Source organism: Homo sapiens, chromosome 2, assembly GCF_000001405.40.
Source record: "Homo sapiens chromosome 2, GRCh38.p14 Primary Assembly".
Taxonomy (NCBI): Eukaryota; Metazoa; Chordata; class Mammalia; order Primates; family Hominidae; genus Homo; species Homo sapiens.
In genome coordinates this window covers 39,442,147-39,463,202 of record NC_000002.12, presented here as the reverse complement: position 1 = coordinate 39,463,202, position 21,056 = coordinate 39,442,147, and the positions used below count along the sequence as shown (strand labels likewise).

Below are 21,056 nucleotides of genomic sequence, written 5' to 3'. Positions count from 1 at the left end.
ACTGTCCAGCTTTTTTTTTTTTTTTTTTTTTTTTTGAGATGGAATTTCACTCTTGTTGCCCAGGCTAGAGTGCAATAGCACAATCTTGGCTCCCAACAACCTCCGCCTCTTGTGTTCAAGCAATTCTCCTGCCTCAGCCCCCTGAGTAGCTGGGATTACAGGCGCCTGCCATCACGCCCAGCTAATTTTTGTATTTTTAGTAGAGATGGGGTTTCACCATGTTGGCCAGGCTGGTCTTGAACTCCTGACCTCGTGATCCGCCTACCTCGGCCTCCCAAAGTGCTGGGATTACAGGCGTGAGCCACCATGCCTGGCCAACTATCTAGTTTTTACCAGAACTGAGGGGTTTACTGGGATGTAGGATTTTCAATACTGAAACCAGGGACATCCTAGGCAAACTGGGATAGTTAGTCACCTTAGTATTTTTAAAAATACAGCTGTATTGATATACATAATTCACGTCTCATAACATTCACCCATTAAAATTTCAATGGCTTTACTACATTCACAGATTTGTGCAACCATCACAATCCAGTTTTAGAACTTTAAAACGAAATCCCATACTCTTTTGCTATAACCACTCAGTCCTTTGTCCCCCCTCACTAATCTACTTTCCGTCTTTGGTCACCCTAGTTTTGAGGGTAACTTATTATGCAGCAATAGATAATACAGGGTTGCAGATAGTGATAAAAGATGATTTTTCTCTTCATTATTCTTTTACTTTATACTTTTCTAAATTTTGCAAAGTATCTTCAATAAGTATATCTTCATTTAATATAAGAAAAACTAGTAATATTCTATTTATGGAAAAGATGGCATAAAATTTCATGGAATTGTTGTTTTGGTCCACCTAGCATCCTTCTGCTCCCTGTTCTTCTGGTCACAGCACTATCCCTCTGTTTTAGGGAAGTACCTTTCCTCAACTCCAGGTGGTTCTGATATGGTTACCAATCAAGGGACAAGGTGGATATGTGACTCAGACTGGAACAATCAGATTTTCTCTCTTATTAATTTGAATCTTGAGTGGAGGCACATGGGAAGAGAAGGTATTTTTATTATTATTATTTTTTTTTTTTTTGAGACAAGGTCTTGCTCTGTCACCCAGGCTGGAGTGCAGTGGCACGATCTTGGCTCACTGCAACCTCCGCCTCCCAGGTTCAAACAATTCTCATACCTTGGCCTCCCGAGTAGCTAGGAGTACAGGCACACGCCACCATGCCCGACTAATTTTTGTATTTTTAGTAGAGACAGGTTTTCGCCATGTTGGCCTGGCTCCTGACCTCGAGTGACCCACTCCTTGGCCTCCCAAAGTGCTGGGATTACAGGCATGAGCCACCACGCCCAGCCAACAAAAGGTATTTAAAGCTAATCACAAGGAGGCAGAATCCTAGAGAGTTGGTTAAAGAACTTTTGTTTCTAAGATTTCTGTCACCTTCCCGGTTCCTGTTCCTCTTGGTCATTCAGCAATGCCTTTGATTCTGTAAGCTACTCCTATACGGCTTGAAAGGAAATCTCTTTTTCATTTAAGTTAGTTTCTGTTGCTTACAACAAAAAAAGTCAACTGACCCAAATAATAACAAAGACTATTTCCATAAGGGTACCTCCTCTTCCCCGACAAAAATCCATAAATCTGCCACTCCAACACAGCAGTTTGTCTTTGTTCATTTTACCTATTGGTCCACTTTTGCATAGATAGACTCATGATGTACACATCCTCTTACATTTAGATTTTTTTATGTGACATTACACCTGCAAAAATGTTTAGTGTTTCTACAAGGTGTTCTATTCGTCATTTTTAATGTATGTTATTATCTTGTATTAGTATATCATAATTCATTAAATCTTGATCCAGTGGTTGGATATTTGGGCTGATTTTAGTGTTTTACTAACAGACATAATGTTTAAAGTGAACGTATTCACAGCAAGCACGTTATTTCTTTCCTTCGAATACATCTACACAATTGAAAAATGGATCTGTTGTGATGTCATCCTCGTTCCTTTCATGCATTTGATGTGTTGCGTTATAAAGTGAAAGGTGCTTTTGTGCTACAAGTAATTTTCTGTCTTGAATGTTTGGATTTTCATTTATATTATTAGGTCAGGCAAAGTCAGATGAGTAGGATTTACTTGGTTATAGATTATGCTCTGAGTTATGATTGTTATATAGGTATTGGTGTGATTGGAACTTTTAAATAGAAATGTTATTGAATATAACATACATAAAGAAAGTGGCACAAATCATAAGGATAGAATCCTAATGAATTTTCACAAAGTGAACTCCCATGTAACTACTATGAAGATCAAGGAGGAGTACTGGCACTCTAGAAGGCCCCTTATGCTCTCACCCAGTTATTACCTTCTGTCAGGTAACCACAATCTTGACATCTATTACCATAACTTAATGTCTTCTGTTTTTTGTTTTTTTTGTTTTGTCTTGTTTTGTTTTTTGAGATGGAGTCTCACTCTGTCACCAGGCTGGAGTGAAGTGGTGCGATCTCAGCTCACTGCAACCTCTGCCTCTTGGGTTCAAGCTATTCTCCTGCCTTAGCCTCCTGAGTAGCTGGGACTACAGGCACGTGCCACCACGCCCAGCTAATTTTTGTATTTTTAGTAGAGACAGGGTTTCTCCATGTTGGCCAGGATGGTCTCGATCTCTTGACCTCATGATCTGCCCACCTCGGCCTCCCAAAGTGCTGGTATTACAGGCGTGAGCCACTGCGCCAGGCCCTGCTTTCTAACTTTAAATAAATGTACCCTTTTGTGTATGGTTTCTTTCACTCAGTATTATGTTTATATGCTCCTTCCATGTCATATGTAGCAGTAATTCATTCATTCTCATCGCTGTGTAGTATTGCATTGCACAGATTTACAACCATTTATTTATCCTTTCTACTGGTTCCCAAATTTTGACTACAAACAGAACTAGAATTACCCAGTCATAGTTTATGCACGTATTCAGCTTTCCTAGACATTGCCAAACAATTTTCCAAAGTGGTAATACCAATTTACATCCCTGTGAGCAGCATAGGAGAGTTCCAGTTGTGCCAATGTCCTCAGCAATCCTTGGTATTTTCCATCTTTTTGATTTTAGACATAATGATAGGAGCATAATGGTATCTCATTCTACTTTTAATTTATGCTTTTTCATATGCTTATTGGTCATTTGGATGTTCTCTTTTATGAAGCACCTGTTCAAGTCTTTGACCTACTTTTTTTTTGTTAGCTTTATTGGGATATAATTTTCATACAATGAAATTCACCTATTTAAAGAATACAATTGCATTAATTTTATAAGTGTATTTTACAAGGTAACCATCATCATAATCATTATACAGAATATTTCCATTATCCCAAAAAGCTCCCATGTGTTTTTTGAAGTTACTTCTCTTCTTCCACCTCCCTGACAACTGGCAACACTGATATGTGTTCTGTCACTATAACTTGGTCTTTTCTACAATTTTATATAAATTGAATCATTCAGTTAGTGGTATTTTGTGTCTGGCTTCTTTCAATGAGCATAATTTTGAAATCCCATCCATGTCATTTCAGCAAGTAGTTAATTACTTTTACTTTTTTTTTCAGACAGTCTCGCTCTTTGTCCAGGCTGGAGTGGAGTGGTGCGATCTCAGCTCACTGCAACCTCTGCCTTCCAGATTCAAGTGATTCTTGTGCCTCAGCCTCCTGAGTAGCTGGGATTACAAGTGCCTGTCCCTACAGCCATTAATTTTTGTATTTTTAGTAGAGATGGGGTTTCACCATGTTGGCCAGGCTGGTCTCAAACTCCTGGCCTCAAGTGATCTGCCTGCCTCGGCGTCCCAAAGTGCTGGGATTACAGGCCTGAGCCACCATGTCCGGCCCAGTTAATTACTTTTTATTGGTGAATAGTATTCTGTTTTATGGATATATCTCAACTTGTTTATCAGTTCATCTTTTGATGGACATTTTGTTGTTCCTAGTTTTTAGTCATTATGAATAAAGCTGCAATGGACATTCAAGACATGTATTTGTATATACATATGTTTCATTTTTCTTAAGTAGGTATCTAGGATTAGGATTGCTGGGTCTTATAAGTTTATATTTAACTTAAGAAACTGTCAAATTTTCCCAAGGTGACTATGCTATTTACATTCCCATCACCAGTATGTGAGTGTCCCAGTTGCTCCACATCTTAGTTAGCACTCGGCATTGTCAGTCTTGTCAATGTTAGCCATTCTAGTGCATATCTAATGGTATCTCATTATGATTTTAATTTGCATTTTCCCAGTGATTAACAACATTGAGCATGCTTTCATATGCTTATTGACACTCATGAAATGTCTGTTAAAATCTTTTGCCCATTTTATAAATTGAGTTAATTTGCGTTCTTATTGAGTTGTAAGAATTCTTTATTATTCTTAACACAAGCCTATCATCAGGTGTTTATTTTACACATATTTTCTTCCAGTCTGTGGTTTGCAGTTTCTTTTTCATAATAGTTACTTATGAAGAGCAAAACTTTTATTTGCATAAGTCTAATTTATTAATTTTCTTTTTTTCCTTTTTTTTTAAGAGATAGGTTCACGCTTTGTTGCGCAGACTGGTCTCAAACGCCTGGCTTCAAGGTATCCTTCTACCTTAGCCTCCCAATGTGCTGGTACTACAGTGTGAGCCACTGTGCCTGGCCTTCTTTTATATTTATGTGTAATATTTGTGTAGTTTGTGTGTGTGTGTGTGTGTGTGTGTGTGTGTGTGTGTAGTATTTAAGAAATACTTGTGAAATACAAGGTCATAAACATTTTACTCTGTTTTATTTTAAAAATTTGTTCATAGATGCATGCTTTGTCATGTCATAACAGGACTATTGGGGTTTTTTATTTCTTTTGGTGTCACTTTTGGTAAATTGAGTTATTCTAGAAATTTCCCATTTTATCTAAATTTTCTAATTTATTGATATTAAGTTGTCCCAAATATTTTCTCTTCAACTTTGTAATGTTTGTGGGGTCCACAGTGGTGTCTTTTTTTTTTTTATGTCTGACAGAGGTAATATGTGTCCTTCCTCCTTTTTATTTGTATATCGTATGTGTCATTAGTTTTGCTAGGGAGTTATCAGTTTTATTTTCTTTCAGTGACTTTTCTCTACTGTACTTTTTTTTTTTGAGACTCTTTCACCTAGGCCCAGGCTGGAGTGCAGTGGCATGAACATGGCTCACTGCAGCCTCAACCTCCTGGGCTCAAGTGATCCCCTTACCTCAGCCTCTGTGTAGCTGGGACCGGAGGTATGCACAATGAAACCCAACTAATATTTAAATTTTTTCTAGAGATGGGGGGTCTCATTTGGTTGCCCAGGCTGGTCTCAAACACCTAGGCTCAAGTGATCCACCCATCTCAGCCTTCCAAAGAGCTAGAATTACAGGCATGAGCCACCATGCCTAGCCTACTGTACATTTTCTTCATTACTTTTTTCTCTTAACTTTTCTTATGCTTTCTTCAAGTTTAATTGCATTTTGTTTCTAACTTATTGAGATAAATACCTAGGTAATTTTTGTTTAAAGCTATCGATTCTAGCCCTTAAGATAATAAATTTCCCCCAATACACAGTTTTAGCTACATCTTAAAATTTTTTATGTCATACTTTCATTATGATTTAGTTTAAAATATTTTCTTATTTTCATTGTGATTTCTTCTTTGACCTATGGATTATTTAGAAGCAGACTGCTTAATTTTCACATATTTGAAATTTTTCTAGTTTTTAAAATATTATTAGGTTAATTCCCCTCTGCTCAAAGAACGTACTCTGTATTATGTCAATTTTTTCAAATACATTGAGGCTTGCTTTATGGCCCAAGTTATTGCCACTTTTAGTAAACATTCCATGTTCATATGAAATGAAAGTGAATTCTGTAGTTGTTTGGTGAAATATTCAATATATATCAATTTTGTAAATTCTGTTAATCATGTTGTTTACATTTTGTGTTTTCTTATTAATTTGTGTCTACTTTTTTATTGGTTACTGAAAAGATCTTACTGTTATTGTAGATCTATTTCTCCCTGCAGTTTTGGGAATTTTTGAATTAATATATTTTGAACTATATTGTTAGTTGTACACAGAATTAGACTTACTGTATCTTCCTGATGGATTGATATTTTTATTATTGTAAAATATCCCACTTTATTTCTAATAATGCTTCTTTCCTTAAACTCTACTTTGTATGTTATTGTATAGCTATAAGAGTTTTGGGTTACAGCTTTCACATAACATGTTTTTTTTCTATTCTTTTACTGTTGTATCTTTTGTAAAAAAGCATATGCAATTATTTTAACCAGTATGACAATCTTTGTCTTTTAGTGGAATATTATGCCATTTTTATTTAATATTTTAAATTTATAATTAATTTATATTTAATTTTAATAGTTAAGGTACTCAATGAGATATTTGGGTTCACAGGTACCATTTTACTATTTTTTTCTATTTGCCCCACTTGTTACTTGCTCCTTTTTATCTTTTTTCTTGTGCCATCTTTTTTTTTTTTTTTTTTGAGATGGAGTTTTGCTCTTGTTGTTGCCCAGGCTGGAGTGCAAAGGCGCCATCTTGGCTCACTGCAACCTCCGCTTCCCAGGTTCAAGCGATTCTCCTGCCTCAGCCTCCCGAGTAGCTGGAATTACAGGCGTGTGCCACCACGCCTGGCTAATTTTGTATTTTTAGTAGAGACAGGGTTTCTCCCTGTTGGTCAGGCTCGTCTTGAACTCCAGACCTCAGGTGATCTGCCTGCCTTGGCCTCCCAAAGTGCTGGGATGACAGACGTGAGCCACCACACCTGGCCTCTTCTTGCCATCCTTTAGCTTAATTATTTTTAATTAACTATCCTTTCTCCCTTTTCCTATTTCCATATTATGTTAGTTATAAATATTTTTATTATTCTCTTAATGGTGACCTAGAGTTTACAACATTCACCCTTGGCTTATTATATCCTTGTGTAATTTAGTATTTTTCTCACTTCTGAGACAAAATATCCTGGCTGACATCCCCATTGGACATCTATACCATTTTGGTCTATTTGGGAGTGGACACAGCTCCTCACCATTTATAGAAACTGACTCCTGTCTGGTTCTCTCCAGACAGGTTCAAGAGACCTAAATTCTCCTGACATCAGGCCATTTCCCTTTTCTTGGAGTCCTTCCCATTCCAAATCATTGAATCATCTGCCTTCATGGGCTTAGGCATCAGAAAATCACCACAGCTTAACCCGCCCTCCAGAGAGAAGAGATAAAGAAATACTTCTCGTTTTCCCATTATGAGCCAGTAGACAAGAAAATAAAATATGGTTTATCAATCAATTTATCCTGCCACACCTACTAATATTATATGAGGTTTTGTGGCCTAGCCTTGGCATCTAACCATAATTAATTACACTATTTCCATGGGAAATTAATTCTAGGTTATAAACACTTAGACTTAGGAACTTTGAGAACCCAATATATTAATAATATGTATTCTCTATATACCATTATTTTTCTTGCTTCTATTTATCTGAGAAAAGAAAAAAACTGCAGAGATCAATGATAAGGCTCATGATGACTGCAATAATACTCTGGTCATGTTGCTTTAGGATTTTGTTTCAACATTAATACCTACAAATGGGGTGAACATGAAGGACTATATAATCTCTCACCAAATTGCAAGATATTTTTATGCCTTTTGATTTCTTTGCCAGGCAAATGACATAGAGCTAGAGGGGAGTAATAATTTTCAGAGATATACTCTCCCTGAAATATACTGCAAAGTTTAAAATGCACTCATAAATACAGATGTAGGTAAAGTTTAATTTAGGGAACTCTGTGTTGGGTGTCGTAGCGCCTATCCCAAAGAACCAGGAGATGGTGACTTGGTTTAATAAAACATTACAAAGGTCCATGAGGAAAATCTCCAGGGACTAAATGGTGGTAATTTTGACCTAGACCATGGCAACTGTCCCTTTTGCTAAAAGTAACAATACTGATTCCTAAGTGTGTCTTCTTCTTAGATACCAACTTTCAATTCCAAGGAGAGACAATGTAGTCCAGACCTCTTACTATTTCCTGTGCTCTTTAGCTTTCATCTGGACTAGACTAAACTTTCATTCTGAGGTTTCAGGCAACCTTAATTTCAAGTGGTTGCTTCAAGCCGCAAGCACTTTTTACAAGATATACCAAGAGTGAATTGAACTCAAGGTAATTTTTTTTCTTCAAAACTCCTTCGTGGTTCCACAGGTGGAATAATATTTGTTTCTTAGTTCTCCCAGACCACCATTTCCAGGTCTAGTCCAATAAATATTGATGTGAAGGCAGAACAATCATAAGGTACATTTGTATATAGTTATACGACATATCATAAGAGAATTCTGTTTTTCCAAAATAATGTGTAAGTTTGGCATAGGATCATCTGAAAACTGGAAATGATCAATACAACAATTCCATGGTCATAAAATGAGTTTTGTTTTTTTTGAGACGGAGTCTCGCTCAGTCGCTCAGACTGGGGTGCAGTGGTGCGATCTTGGCTCACTGCAAACTCCACTTCCTGGGTTCACGCCATTCTCCTGCCTCAGCCTCCTGAGTAGCTGGGACTATAGGCGCCCGCCACCAAGCCCGGCTAATTTTTTTGTAGTTTTAGTAGAGACAGGGTTTCACCGTGTTAGCCAGGATGGTCTCGATCTCCTGACCTCGTGATCCGCCTGTCTCGGCCTCCCATAAAGTGCTGGGATTAGAGGCGTGACCCACCGCGCCGGGACAAAATGAGTATTAAAAATCTGCTTTTCCCCGTAAGACGTATTCCACACTTAATCATTCAAGAGCTGATTATCCAGAATGTATAATATACAAACCCATTATTTTTTCTTTTCCCTTCTGCTGCCAGATCTTTGGTCATTTCACAGCTCGTTAGCATTCTCTCTCTGGGAAAATAAAAGCAAATGTAGCTCAAATTATTATTTTAAACTTTCTATGTAAAGGTTTTGTAGGAAGAGTTATAATTATTGGTAAAAATACCACTTTACTTTAATAAGTATTTGGTTAGGCTCTGCTGGGCACTGTGGAAGAATGAACAAAGCTGAAGACATTGTCCCTGCTCTGAAGACTTTTTACAATATAATTGGAGAAACAAGATTTATGTATATTAAAGTCAAATAGTAACGCAAGACAATATATATTTAACCAACAACATCAAAAAAATCTAGCGATACAAACATATATACAAGAGAAGTTTATACACTTAGAAGGGGTTTTAAAAAAGGAGAAGGCTGGGCATGGTTGCTCATACCTGTAGTCTCAGCACTTTGGGAGGCCAAGGCGGGAGGATCACTTGAGCTCAGAAGTTCAAGACCAGCCTGGACAACAAAGCAAGACTCTGCCTCTATAAAAAAAATAAATAAATAAAATTTTTAATTAGCCAGGCATGGTAGTATGTGCATGTAGTCTGCCTACTTGAGAAGCTGAGGCAGGAGGATCACTTGAGCCCAGGAGTTTGAGGCTGCAGTGAGCTATAATTGTACCACTGCACTCCAGCCTGGGTGACAGAACGGGACCCTATCTCTAAATAAATAAATAAATAAATCCAAAAAAAAAGTGAGAACACACTGTGAACTGACAAAGCCATCATGGAAATTCTCAATAAGCTGGTGAGACAAGCTAGTTATCAAAGAATGGATGGAATTTCAACATGGGAAGAGGAAAAAAAAGAAAATCCTGCACACACACACACATAAAAAAAATCACAAAAGCCAAGAATTCCAAAGTCTAGGAGCCATATACATCTTTAAATGAAATATTTCAAGCATCAACATACAGAAAGTAATAACAACCTCTTTTTTTCTCCCTACTCACCTTTGTCAAGTATTAACTTGTGTAATATTTGCTTCAGATTCTTTTTTTTGAAGTGAATCAGCTAAAGCCTTCTGCACGCTATATGATAATCTTTTTTTCCTCAACAGGATATAACAACTATCTTGAATATGACTTTTTTATTATTACCATGGATATTCTAAAATGCCTATCATACATAGAAATATCTAGTATTTTCATGTGTTTAAACTTAGTGTAATCAGTAGCATACTTTATGTATTTTCTGCTACTTTATCACTCAGTATTACATTTTTTGAGATTTATGCATATTTTAGTTCCAGTTCTAGTTCATTCATTTTAACTAATCCGTAGTATTTCACTGTGTGATCACAAAACAATTTACTTATCCATTCTCAGGTGGATGGAAACTTACATCATTTCCAATTATTTTTCTGTTATACATGATACTTCAATGAACATTCATTTACCCATCTCCTTGTATGTTTAAGGGAGAGTTTCTACACGGAGAAGTGAAATTGCTAGATTGTAAGATAAAGATATCTTTAGCTTATTAGATTTTGCTGAATTGCCTTCTAATGTGGTTGTATAAGAGTTCCCTGATCTTCTTTACCTTTGCAATTGTTTTTATTTTTCATTTTTAGATACAGGGTCTCGCTCAGGAGTACAGTGGCACAACTAATGGCTCACTATAGCCTTAAACTTCTGGCCTCAAGCGATCCTCCTGACTTGGCCTCCGAAAGCATAGGGATTACAGGCATGAACCACTTTTGCAATTCTGCTAACTACATCATAGGTGTGGAACTTCCAGAGTACCCTGGAGCCAATACTTTCTATAAGCTGGTGTTTGTGTAGGTGACGCTCAGTATTGTATCTCACTATGAACCGGCCCAACCCAAGGGAAGGGTGGATATCAAACCTCTGGGAGAGAATTTGGGAAAAGCAAAGAAAGTAATGGTGTAATGGTTGAGGACTGGTTGCACATTTTATTAACTTTTGCATCCCCAGTATCTAGTACAACCTGAAACTCAGATCAAGGCTCAGTAGATGTTAAATTGACTGGAACTAATTATAAACTCTGATATGCTTCTAGTTTACTTCTCTAAGCTTCAATTTCTCCATTTATAAATTATGGATGATAATAATTCAGGAAGTCATTCCAAAGATAAAATAAGATATAAATGTGAAGACATTTATAAACTCTAAAGAGCCATGCAAATTAAGTTATAAAAGATTAGAAAGCTGCTTCTGTGTTGTGACATCTTAGATATGACCAGATAACATTTTAGTTGTTCAAAGAAGCATTGCCAAGTTTCTCATTGGCATTCTTCTTGTAGCCCTAATAAATCCTGGAGTCTCACATGCCTGAGACTCTGCTCAGAGCCACATATAGAGATATGTAGTTATTTTGTTTTATTTTTATTGATTGATTGATTGATTGATTTTTGAGACAGAGTCTCACTCTGTTGCCCAGACTGGAGTGCAGTGGTGCAATCTCGGCTCACTGCAACCTCTGCCTCCCAGGTTCAAGCAAGTCTCCTGCCTCAGCCTCCCAAGTAGCTAGGATTACAGGCACATGCCACCACACCCAGCTAATTTTTGTATTTTTAGTAGAGACGGGGTTTCGCCACGTTGGCCAGGCTGGTCTCAAACTCCTGACCTCAGGTGATCGCCTGCCTCGGCCTACCAAAGTGCTGGGATTACAGGCATGAGCCACCACTCCCAGCCAAGATACACAGTAATTTTAAAAAGGTATTCTAACCTTTACTTCCAACTCTGAAAAAAAAAACATCAAAGAGGAACCCATTCATTTTGTAAAGCCACACTTGAGTTCTATTCTATTCTCTTTAGTCCTCAAACATAAATCCACAATCTCTTTCACAAGTACTCAGTTTGCTGAACTTTTGCTTATTTTCTCCCTTCTTCCTTCTTCCAACATTTTGAAAGTTGACAGCTCTTCTCTGGTTCCCCTTCTTCTCTCAGTTCTCCACTTGGACCTCCACTATCCATCCCTTAAATCCCACGCCAGATATGTACCAAGGAAATGCCAGAAAACACTTGCCTGGAGGAAGAATAGTCATACTTCATGAAATCATCCTAAAGCACACATTTTTGTCATTGAATTCAGTGACATTATTTTCACTTTCAATGTTTACAAAAATAAGGTCCACCCACCTCTGTTACTTTTAAGAGCCCCTTGTTTAAAAAGAAAAAAAAGAAGAAGAAAGAAAGAAGGTTGCTCACATTGCTCTACACCCTCAGACCCCATTCATAAATCTCATGACTCCATCTATGGTCTCTATTTGTATGGCTCAATTTACCCTCTTATACTTCGTATTCAGAATCTGTCATTATCCTTGTAATAGCTCCTCCTTGAATGCCCTCTTATTTCCTCAAAGTCAACATGTCTAAATGTAAACTCACATTTATTCCAAATTTAGCTTCACCTCGGAACTTCCATATTTCCATTGTTGGCATTCTGGAAGCATGTTTATTGGCCAGGTGTGCTATCATAAGAAGAGGAAGAGACTGGGGCAAGAGAGACTAATTAAGAGCTTGCACACCATATAGCAGACAACAGAGTGCACTCAGATTTGCAGATAGGTGTTTTGAGTTTATGTGGAATGACAGAATAATGCTCTCCTTAGGTGAGAGGATACATAAACCCTAAATACTGGCATCAGCAATGAAAAAGTGTTATGCTTTTAGGCAGTACAGTTTCATACAAACATTTCCAGACATTGAGATAGACACAGACTGACCATAAGAAGCTCCACGCTTAAATTTGAAAGAGGCTATTCACAAATTTCATTTACAAGTTTAACCATTTGTAAATAAAATACAAAGTGGTGGGGAAACTTTCATGAATTTCCTTCCTTTTGTTTCTTTTACAAGGAAAACAATTATTCCATCACCACATGTTAAAACTATCCTGATAGCATCAAATGCCTAGCTGAGAGAGGTCATACTACAATTTAACTACTAATTTATGTTTAACTACTAATGTAAAGATATATTTTTTTGGCCGGGCACGGTGGCTCACACTTGTAATCCCTGCACTTTGGGAGGCTGAGGAAAGTGGATCACTTTAGGTCGGGAGTTCAAAACCAGCCTGGCCAACATGATGAAACCCTGTCTCTACTAAAAATACAAAAAATTAGCTGGGCATGGTGGCGCGTGCCTATAATCCGAGCTACTTAGGAGGCTGAGGTAGGAGAATTGCTTGGACCCGGGAGGTGGAGGTTGCAGTGAGCCGAGATCGCGCCACTGCACTCCAGCCCGGGCAACAAGAAGAAAACTCTGTTTCAAAAAAAAAAAGATTCATATATTTTTAAAGTATCTGTAAGTAACCCAGACGATATGATCCCAGGCTGAAGGTCTGGCTCAAATACTAAGAAGAGGCATGCCTTGGCCGGGCACGGTGGCTCACGCCTATAATCCCAACACTTTGGGAGGCCGAGGCAGGTGGATCACGACGTCAGGAGATTGAGTCCATCCTGGACAACATGGTGAAACCCTGTGTCTACTAAAATACAAAAAATTAGCCAGGCATTGTGGCACGCGCCTGTAGTCCCAGCTGAGGCAGAGGAATCGCTTGAACCCGGGAGGTGGAGGTTGCAGTGAGCCGAGATCGAGCCATAGCACTTCAGCCTGGCAACAGAGTGAGACTCCGTCTCAAAAAAAAAAGAAGAAGAAGAAGAAGAGGCATACCTTGATTTAGACAGGCTTTGCCATTAGCTCAGACCCAGCAAACGGATCTGTTTCCCGGTGCAGAGATCTGGGTCAGTTTGAGAAAAGAGTTATCTTCCCATTGACCTTGAACTGTGAGCAGGGAATAGGAGTAATGGAAAACTGGTATTCGAACTATTTTAACTGTTTTTTTTTTTGTTTTGTTTTGTTTTGTTTTGAGACGGAGTCTCGCTCTGTCCCCCCAGGCTGGAGTGCAGTGGCGCAATCTCGGCTCACTGCAACCTCCGCCTCCTGGGTTCACGCCATTCTCCTGCCTCAGCCTCCTGAGTAGCTGGGACTACAGGCGCCTGCCACCGCGCCCGGTTAATTTTTGGTATTTTTAGTAGAGAGGGGGTTTCACTGTGGTCTCGATCTCCTGACCTCGTGATCCGCCCGCCTCGGCCTCCCAAAGAGCTGGGATTACAGGCGTGAGCCACCGCGCCCAGCCTTAACTGAGTTTTTTGTTTGTTTGTTTGTTTTTGAGACGGAGTCTCGCTCTGTCGCCTAGGCTGGAGTGCAGTGGCGCGATCTCGGCTCCCTGCAAGCTCCGCCTCCTGGGTTCACACCATTCTCCTGCGTCAGCCTCCCGAGTAGCTGGGGACTACAGGCGCCCGCCACCATGTCCAGCTTTCTTTTTGTATTTTTAGCGGAGACAAGGTTTCACCGTGTTAGCCAGGATGGTCTCAATCTCCTGACCTCGTGATCCGCCCGTCTTGGCCTCCCAATATGCTGGGATTACAGGCGTGAGCCACCGTGCCCGGCTGTTTTGATTTTTTTTTTTTTTTTTTTTTTTTGAGGCAGAGTCTCGCTCTGTAGCTCAGGCTGGAGTGCAATGGCAGGATCTTGGCTCACTGCAACCTCCGCCTCCCAGGTTCAAGTGATTCTCCTGCCTCAGCCTCCTGAGTAGCTGGGATTACAGTCACGCGCCACCACACCCTGCTAATTTTTGTATTTTTAGTAGAGACGGGGTTTCACAATGTTGGTCAGGCTGGTCTCGAGCTCCGACCTTGTGATCTGCCTGCCTTGGCCTCCCAAAGTGTTGGAATTACAGGCGTGAGCCACCATCCCCGGCCTTAACTGAGCTTTTATTTCCAGTTTTAATCTGTTTTGAGAAAGAAAAACTCCAATCCAGGTTTAAACCAAATTAGTGGATGATTTTTTTCAAAAAAGATGAACTTTCTAAATCTACAAATAGATTTGCTTTACTATTATACAGGTTTTGTTGTGCAGGGGTGAAGTCCTCCTAGGAGAAAATAATAACGTACAATAAAGCTTCTAGTGAAAAGGCCAGCAGGATATGACTCTGGGGCAGTGAGCAACTCTGCAAACACAATGTATGTGACTATATTTGTTCTGGGCCAGGTCGGTCTGGCCCAACAGCGCTCTGTATTTGGGAACTAGGACACAGGGCAACACCTCTTAACCAGAGGCATCTGAGGGGAATTCTAGGCTGGATGTTATGTAAGATGGAATCAGGGAAACACTATGCTCTAATATATCATGGGATAACAGATAAATATAAGGAAGATTTTATTAAAAAAATGATCTCAACCATCCCTCGGTCTGTCCCTTAGCAGCGTGTACTTCCTTAGCGTTCTTCAGTACAGTCATGCATCGCTCAATGACAGGGATACATTCTGAGAAATGTGTCACTGGGTGATTTCGCTGTTGTATGAAAATCATAGAGTGCACTTACACAAACCTAGAGGATAGAGCCTACCTCACATCTAGGCTATATGGTGTAGCCTAATGCTCCTAAGCCACAAAACTGTACTGCCTGTTGCTGTATTGAATACTGTAGGCAATTGTTACACAATGGTAAGTATTTGTGTATCTCAACATGGAAAAGACATAGTGAAAAACACAATATGAAAGATTAAAAAATGGTACCCTTATATAGGACACTTCCCATGAATAGAGCTTGCAGGACTGGAAGTTGCTCTGGGTGAGTCAGTGAGTGAGTAGTGAGTGAATGTGAAGGCCTAGGACATTACTGTATACTACTGTAGACTTTATAAACACTGTATACTTAGGCTATACTAAATTTACACAATTTTTTTCAATAATAGATTAATCTTAGTTTACTGCAATTTTATTTGTTTATTTTTTGAGGCAGGGTCTTGCTCTGTCACCCAGGCTGGAGTGCAGTGGCACAATCACAGCTCACTGCAGCCTCAACCTCCTAGACTTGAGTGATCCTCCCACCTCAACTTCCTGAATAGCTGGGACCACAGGCATGCACTACCAGGCCTGGTTAATTTTTTTTAAATTTTTTATAGACATGGGGTCTCCCTGTGTTGCCCAGGCTGGTCTTAAACTCCTGGGCTCAAGCAGTCCTCCTATCTCAGCTTCCCAAAATGCAGAGATTACGGGAGTGAGCCACTACCTCTTTATATACTTTTAAATTAAAAAAAAAAAAGTTAACTCGTAATAACACTTGGCTTAAAACATACACATGATATAGCTGTACAAAAATATTTTCTTTTAGGGCTAGTCTTGAACTCGTGGACTCCAATGATCCTTCTGCCTCAGCCTCCCATGTAGCTGGGATTACAGATGCATCCCACCATGTTCAGTCTTTTCTTTCTTTATATACTTATTCTACAAGCATTTTTGTATTTTTTAATTTTTTCAATTCTTTTTTTTTACTTTTAAAATACTTTTGTTAAAAACCAACACAGAAACACGTACATTGGCCTAGGCTTATAAAGGGTCAGGATCATCAATATAACTGTCTTCCATCTTCACATCTTGTCCCACTGGAAGGTTTTTTAAAAAACTTTTTTGAGACAAGATCTCGCTATGTTGCCCAGCCTGGTCTTGAATGCCTAGGCTCAAGCAATCCTCCTGCGTCAGCCTCCCAAAGTGCTGGGATTAGAGGCATATGCCTCCATGCCCGGACCCCACTGGAAAATCTTTAGGGACAATAACACACATGGACCTGTCATATCTTATGATAACAATGCCTTCTTCTGGATACCTCCTGAAGGACCTGCCTGAGGCTCCTTTACAGTTAACTTTTTTTTTTAAATAAGTAGGAGGAATACACTCTAAAATAAGGATAAATAATATAGTAAATACATAAACCAATAACAGTCATATATTATCATTATCGAGTATTATGTACTACCCATAATTATATGCACTGAATGCTGACATGACTGGCAGCACAGTAGGTTTTACACCAGCATCACTACAAATATGTGAGTAATGTGTTGCACTACTATATTACACCAGCTATGATATCAGTAGACAATAGGAATTTTTCAGCTCCATTATAATCTTATGGGACCACTGTCATATATGCAGCCTGTTGTTGACTGAAATGTTGTCATACGGTACAGGACCAGATTTTATTGCCTATTTTTGATGTAGCCTGTACCCTCCAGGACTGAATGAGTCTGAAAAGATATCATTTAAAATCTTGGCTTCCCAAGAAGATGAAAGATTCTCGTCTAGATAATTCTTTTGTGTTTTCAAGATCTCACCTGGTAGCAATATAACATACAGGTACTGGGTGCTCGGTTTTGTTGTTGTTGGTGTTATATTTGCCTGGGGATGAGAAGATAACATCTAGCCTGTTAGATTGATGTCAGGGCAGAAACTTCACAGTGAGATGCTTGAGACCAGGTTTCTTGTCCCTGACACTTTATGACAGTGTGGGTTCAAGAACACTTGTGATGATCTTAGAGGAGGGCAAATATGATTTTTGGAGATTTTTCTTCATCAGGACCAAGGGGCCAGGTAGGGGTTGAGGATTTTAGAATTATAGATAACAGTATGAATGGCATCTCCCAGAATCGAGCAGTACAGTGACCCTGAGTTTGTTGGGCTATAAAAAAATTGGATAAAAGTTTAGGCTATAATAAAGCGTTCCAGTAATAGGTAGTTACAATCCCCCCATAGTAAACAGTGACCAGACTGCATTTGGAATACTGAGCTCAATTCTTTGCCAGAGTTTACTCTGAAAGATATTAACAAGTTAAATGTGTCCATACGAAGGGGTCCAGATGAGATGTATAGAGTTCATGATGTATGAGAAAGGCTGAAGGGGATTTGGGAGAATATAACTAAGAGGAGACACAATAGCAGAAGAGAAAATACGAACTTTGATAGTTAAGGTTAGCATTGATCTCCATAATGACAACTAACGATACTTTTCTGTCCCCCTCTTTCCCAGTCTCTCTTTGGTATTTAACAGTGTTGATCCACTCTCCTTAAAATTTCCTCTTTTGTTTCATTGATACAATTTGTACTACTTCAGTAGATAGTAAGATTGAATTGAAGTGCAAGAAATCTGTGAAAACACTTGTGAAGGATAAAGAGGAAAAGTAGCAGTAGGAGGGAAGAATGTCAGATTGCAATCCACATCTTAATACCACATCTTAATACCATAAAGGGAATAGGAGAAGGAAGAATTGGGTAGAGTCTATCTGCGTGGCGGCTCTGAGAAAGGCTCAATTAGGCCAATGGGGACCCCAGAGCAAAGACTGCCCATCGGAAGAAACTACATTGGAAAGCAATAGCCATGCTCAGGCATTGGCTGGGAGGATCTAGAGAGAGGGAGACCTCTGTGTAAATGCTGTGATAGATCCCAAAGGCATGGTGGTGGGAGGCTGTCAGCTAATCACAGCCCATACGGCCGGTACCTCCCTGGAGGGAAACCTGACTGTTCATTCCAATAGGTGCCACACAATTCCATTACCACATATCACACTGGGTCCCACCTCTTTGGCCTTTTTTGCTAAATTCCCTTACTTTGCTCACACCCTAAATGTTGGGGTTTTGTAGGAACCCATTTTCTGCCTATTCCATACATTTTCCCTATGAGAATTAATCTCAACCCACAATTTCAAATACTACCATCACTGTATGTTGATATGCACTCCAGATGTTAATTCAGGCCACCATTTTCTCTTACCTATACCATTGCAAAGGTCTCCTGATTATTCTCATATCATGTCTCTAGTCTTGCCACCTGTCTCCAATTCATTTTCCATACTGCAGCTAGTGAAATGTTTCCAAGTCACAAATAAGATCTTGTTATTCACATGCCAAAAACTCATCAATAGCTCCCTTTTGTTCTCAGTTAAAAAAAAAAAAAGAGAAAAATCCTAATCATTTAACACAATTTATATGTTCCATCATGGACTGGTTCCTGCTTACCATTCCAGCCTCATCTGTTACCACATTCACCGTAAACAGAACTAGGTTTTGTGTGTGTGCGTGGAGTGTACCTTTTTGCCTGGCTAATTTTCTACTTGTCTTTTAAGCATCTGCTGAGATGTTCCTTCCTCTGTGAAGACTTTAAAACTTACAAAGACTACATTGGGTGCTCTCCTAAGTAGTCCCAGGAAGTATATGATAAGGGGCAGGTGGAAGCGGAATGTTGGCTGTGAATCTATGGAGGACAGTGAAACAACATCATTTGGACATTGGAAATGTAATAAAACAGATAATATTTTACATATCAGAACTTCTCTCAGCAAATATACTGTATGAGATAGAAATAAATACCTTGATAAACAGATTGGTGTGGGTGACAGTTCTCCCAAGGGAGATGCTAAGCAAACATTCTCAATCCAACCACTCACACTCCCACCCTCCCAGCCAAACCTTGGGCATTCAAAAATGTGTGTGGCTATTTTTGTTGATGTCAGTATGGCTGGGAGCAGTATTGACATGGGGTGGACAGGGATATTATGATGCATGGGGATCGTCCCACACAAGGAAAAATTGTTCCACCCAAAATGCTAATAAAACCTCAATTGAGAAACACTATTGGGGGTATGCAAATCTGAGAACTGAGCCAAATTGCTCAGAATAAGAGTGGTTGAAAGTTGACACGTGAGAACTCCCAGCTCCACCCACAGCAAGGCAGAGCTCTCCCTTTTTTGTAAATAAATATTGAGTACCTGTTTTTTAAAATACTGGTTTAGGCTGGTTACAGTAGTTCATGTCTATAATCTTAGCACTTTGGGAGGCCAGAACAGGAGGATCACATGAGCCCAGGAGTTTGACACCAGCCTGGGAAACATCATGGGACACCATCTCTACAAAAAATAAAGAAAACTTAGTCAGGTGTGGTGTGTGTGCTTGTAGTTCCAGCTACTCAGGAGGCTAAGGTGGGAGGATATCTTGAGCCTGGGAGGCCAAGGCTGCAGTGAGTCATGTTCATGCCACTGCACTCCAACCTGGGTAACAAAGTGAGACCCTGTCTCAAAAAAAAAATTGATTTAAAGAAAATTAAAAAGCATATATTGGTTTGAAAAAGAGCCAAATTATTAGCCCCAGGGGCATCTAATATTTCCTTCTGGCTCTACTTCCCTGTACCTCTCTGAAGTTTTCACTGAGAACTTCTCTGTATTCTCAATTTAAGTTCAGAGACCATGCCCTATTGCATCATCATAATCTAATATAGTGTTTGACACATGATCAATGCTTGTATTAGTTCATTCTCACACTGCTATGAAGACATACCCAAGACTGAGTAATTTTTAAAGGACAGATATTTAATTGACTCACAGTTCCCTATGGCTGGGGAGCCTCAGGAAACTTACAATCATGGCAGAAAGGGAAGGAAACATGTCCTTCTGCACATGGCAGCAGGAGAGAGAATGAGAGTGGAGCGAAGGAGAAGCCCCTTATAAAACCATCAGATCTTCTAAGAACTTTATTATCATGAGAATGGCATGGGAGAAACTGGCCCCATGATTCAATTACCTCCCATCAGGTCCCTCCCATCACACGTGGGGATTATGGGAACTATAATTCAAGATGAGATTTGGGTGAGAACACAGCCAAACCATATCAATGCCCAATAAATTTTTCTGAAGTATGACTCCTCAAATCTAAATATTAGCCCTGATATTGTTTCTAAATTTCAGATCCACATTTTTATCACTAATTTTATATTTCCAGTTGAGCACTTCAAACTTAGCTACAAAACAGATCATCTACTTTGACTCTCTACCAAATTATACCAGTTCCCTTTATCATGGCAAATGCTATCATGACCCTCCCAATTGCCTATACCATAAGCCTGCAAGTCACTAATGTCTCCACCTGCTTCCTCACTTCCCCAAGCCTATGCATTCCATCTCCCAATTATCTCCTGTGTTATTTCTCTCTTCTCCATTCTCAGCACTCCAGACCCTAATTCAGGGTCTCTTATATATGTTATCGTAATTGCTTCCTAAGTCATATCTTCATCTCCATCTCCATGACTGTCATCTTTAGAACTGACATTATAAGACTGGCATCTTTAGAATGTCTTTACAACAACCAAAATAGGCCGGGTGCGGCGGCTCATGCGTCATCCCAGCACTTTGGGAGGCAGAGGTGGGCGGATCACTTGAGGTTAGGAGTTTGAGACCAGCCTGACCAACATGGACAAACCCCATCTCTACTAAAAATACAAAATTAGCCAGGCATGGTGGCGCATGCCTGTAATCCCAGCTACTCAGGAGGCTGAGGCAGGAGAATCGCTTGAACCCAGGAGGCGGAGGTTGCGGTGA

At 39.4% G+C, this 21,056-nt stretch overlaps 1 long non-coding RNA gene across 1 annotated transcript in view; it reads right to left on the bottom strand.

Annotated features, from left to right (window-relative positions):
- MAP4K3-DT (MAP4K3 divergent transcript) overlaps positions 1-21,056 on the bottom strand; it is a 163,929-nt gene that overhangs the window by 138,142 nt on the left and 4,731 nt on the right. Inside the window, exons 2-3 of the long non-coding RNA NR_037875.1 lie at positions 9,272-9,364; positions 8,838-8,906 (exon numbers count right to left, since the gene is read on the bottom strand). This is a non-coding gene — a long non-coding RNA (MAP4K3 divergent transcript). The remainder of the gene's footprint in view (positions 1-8,837; positions 8,907-9,271; positions 9,365-21,056) is intronic.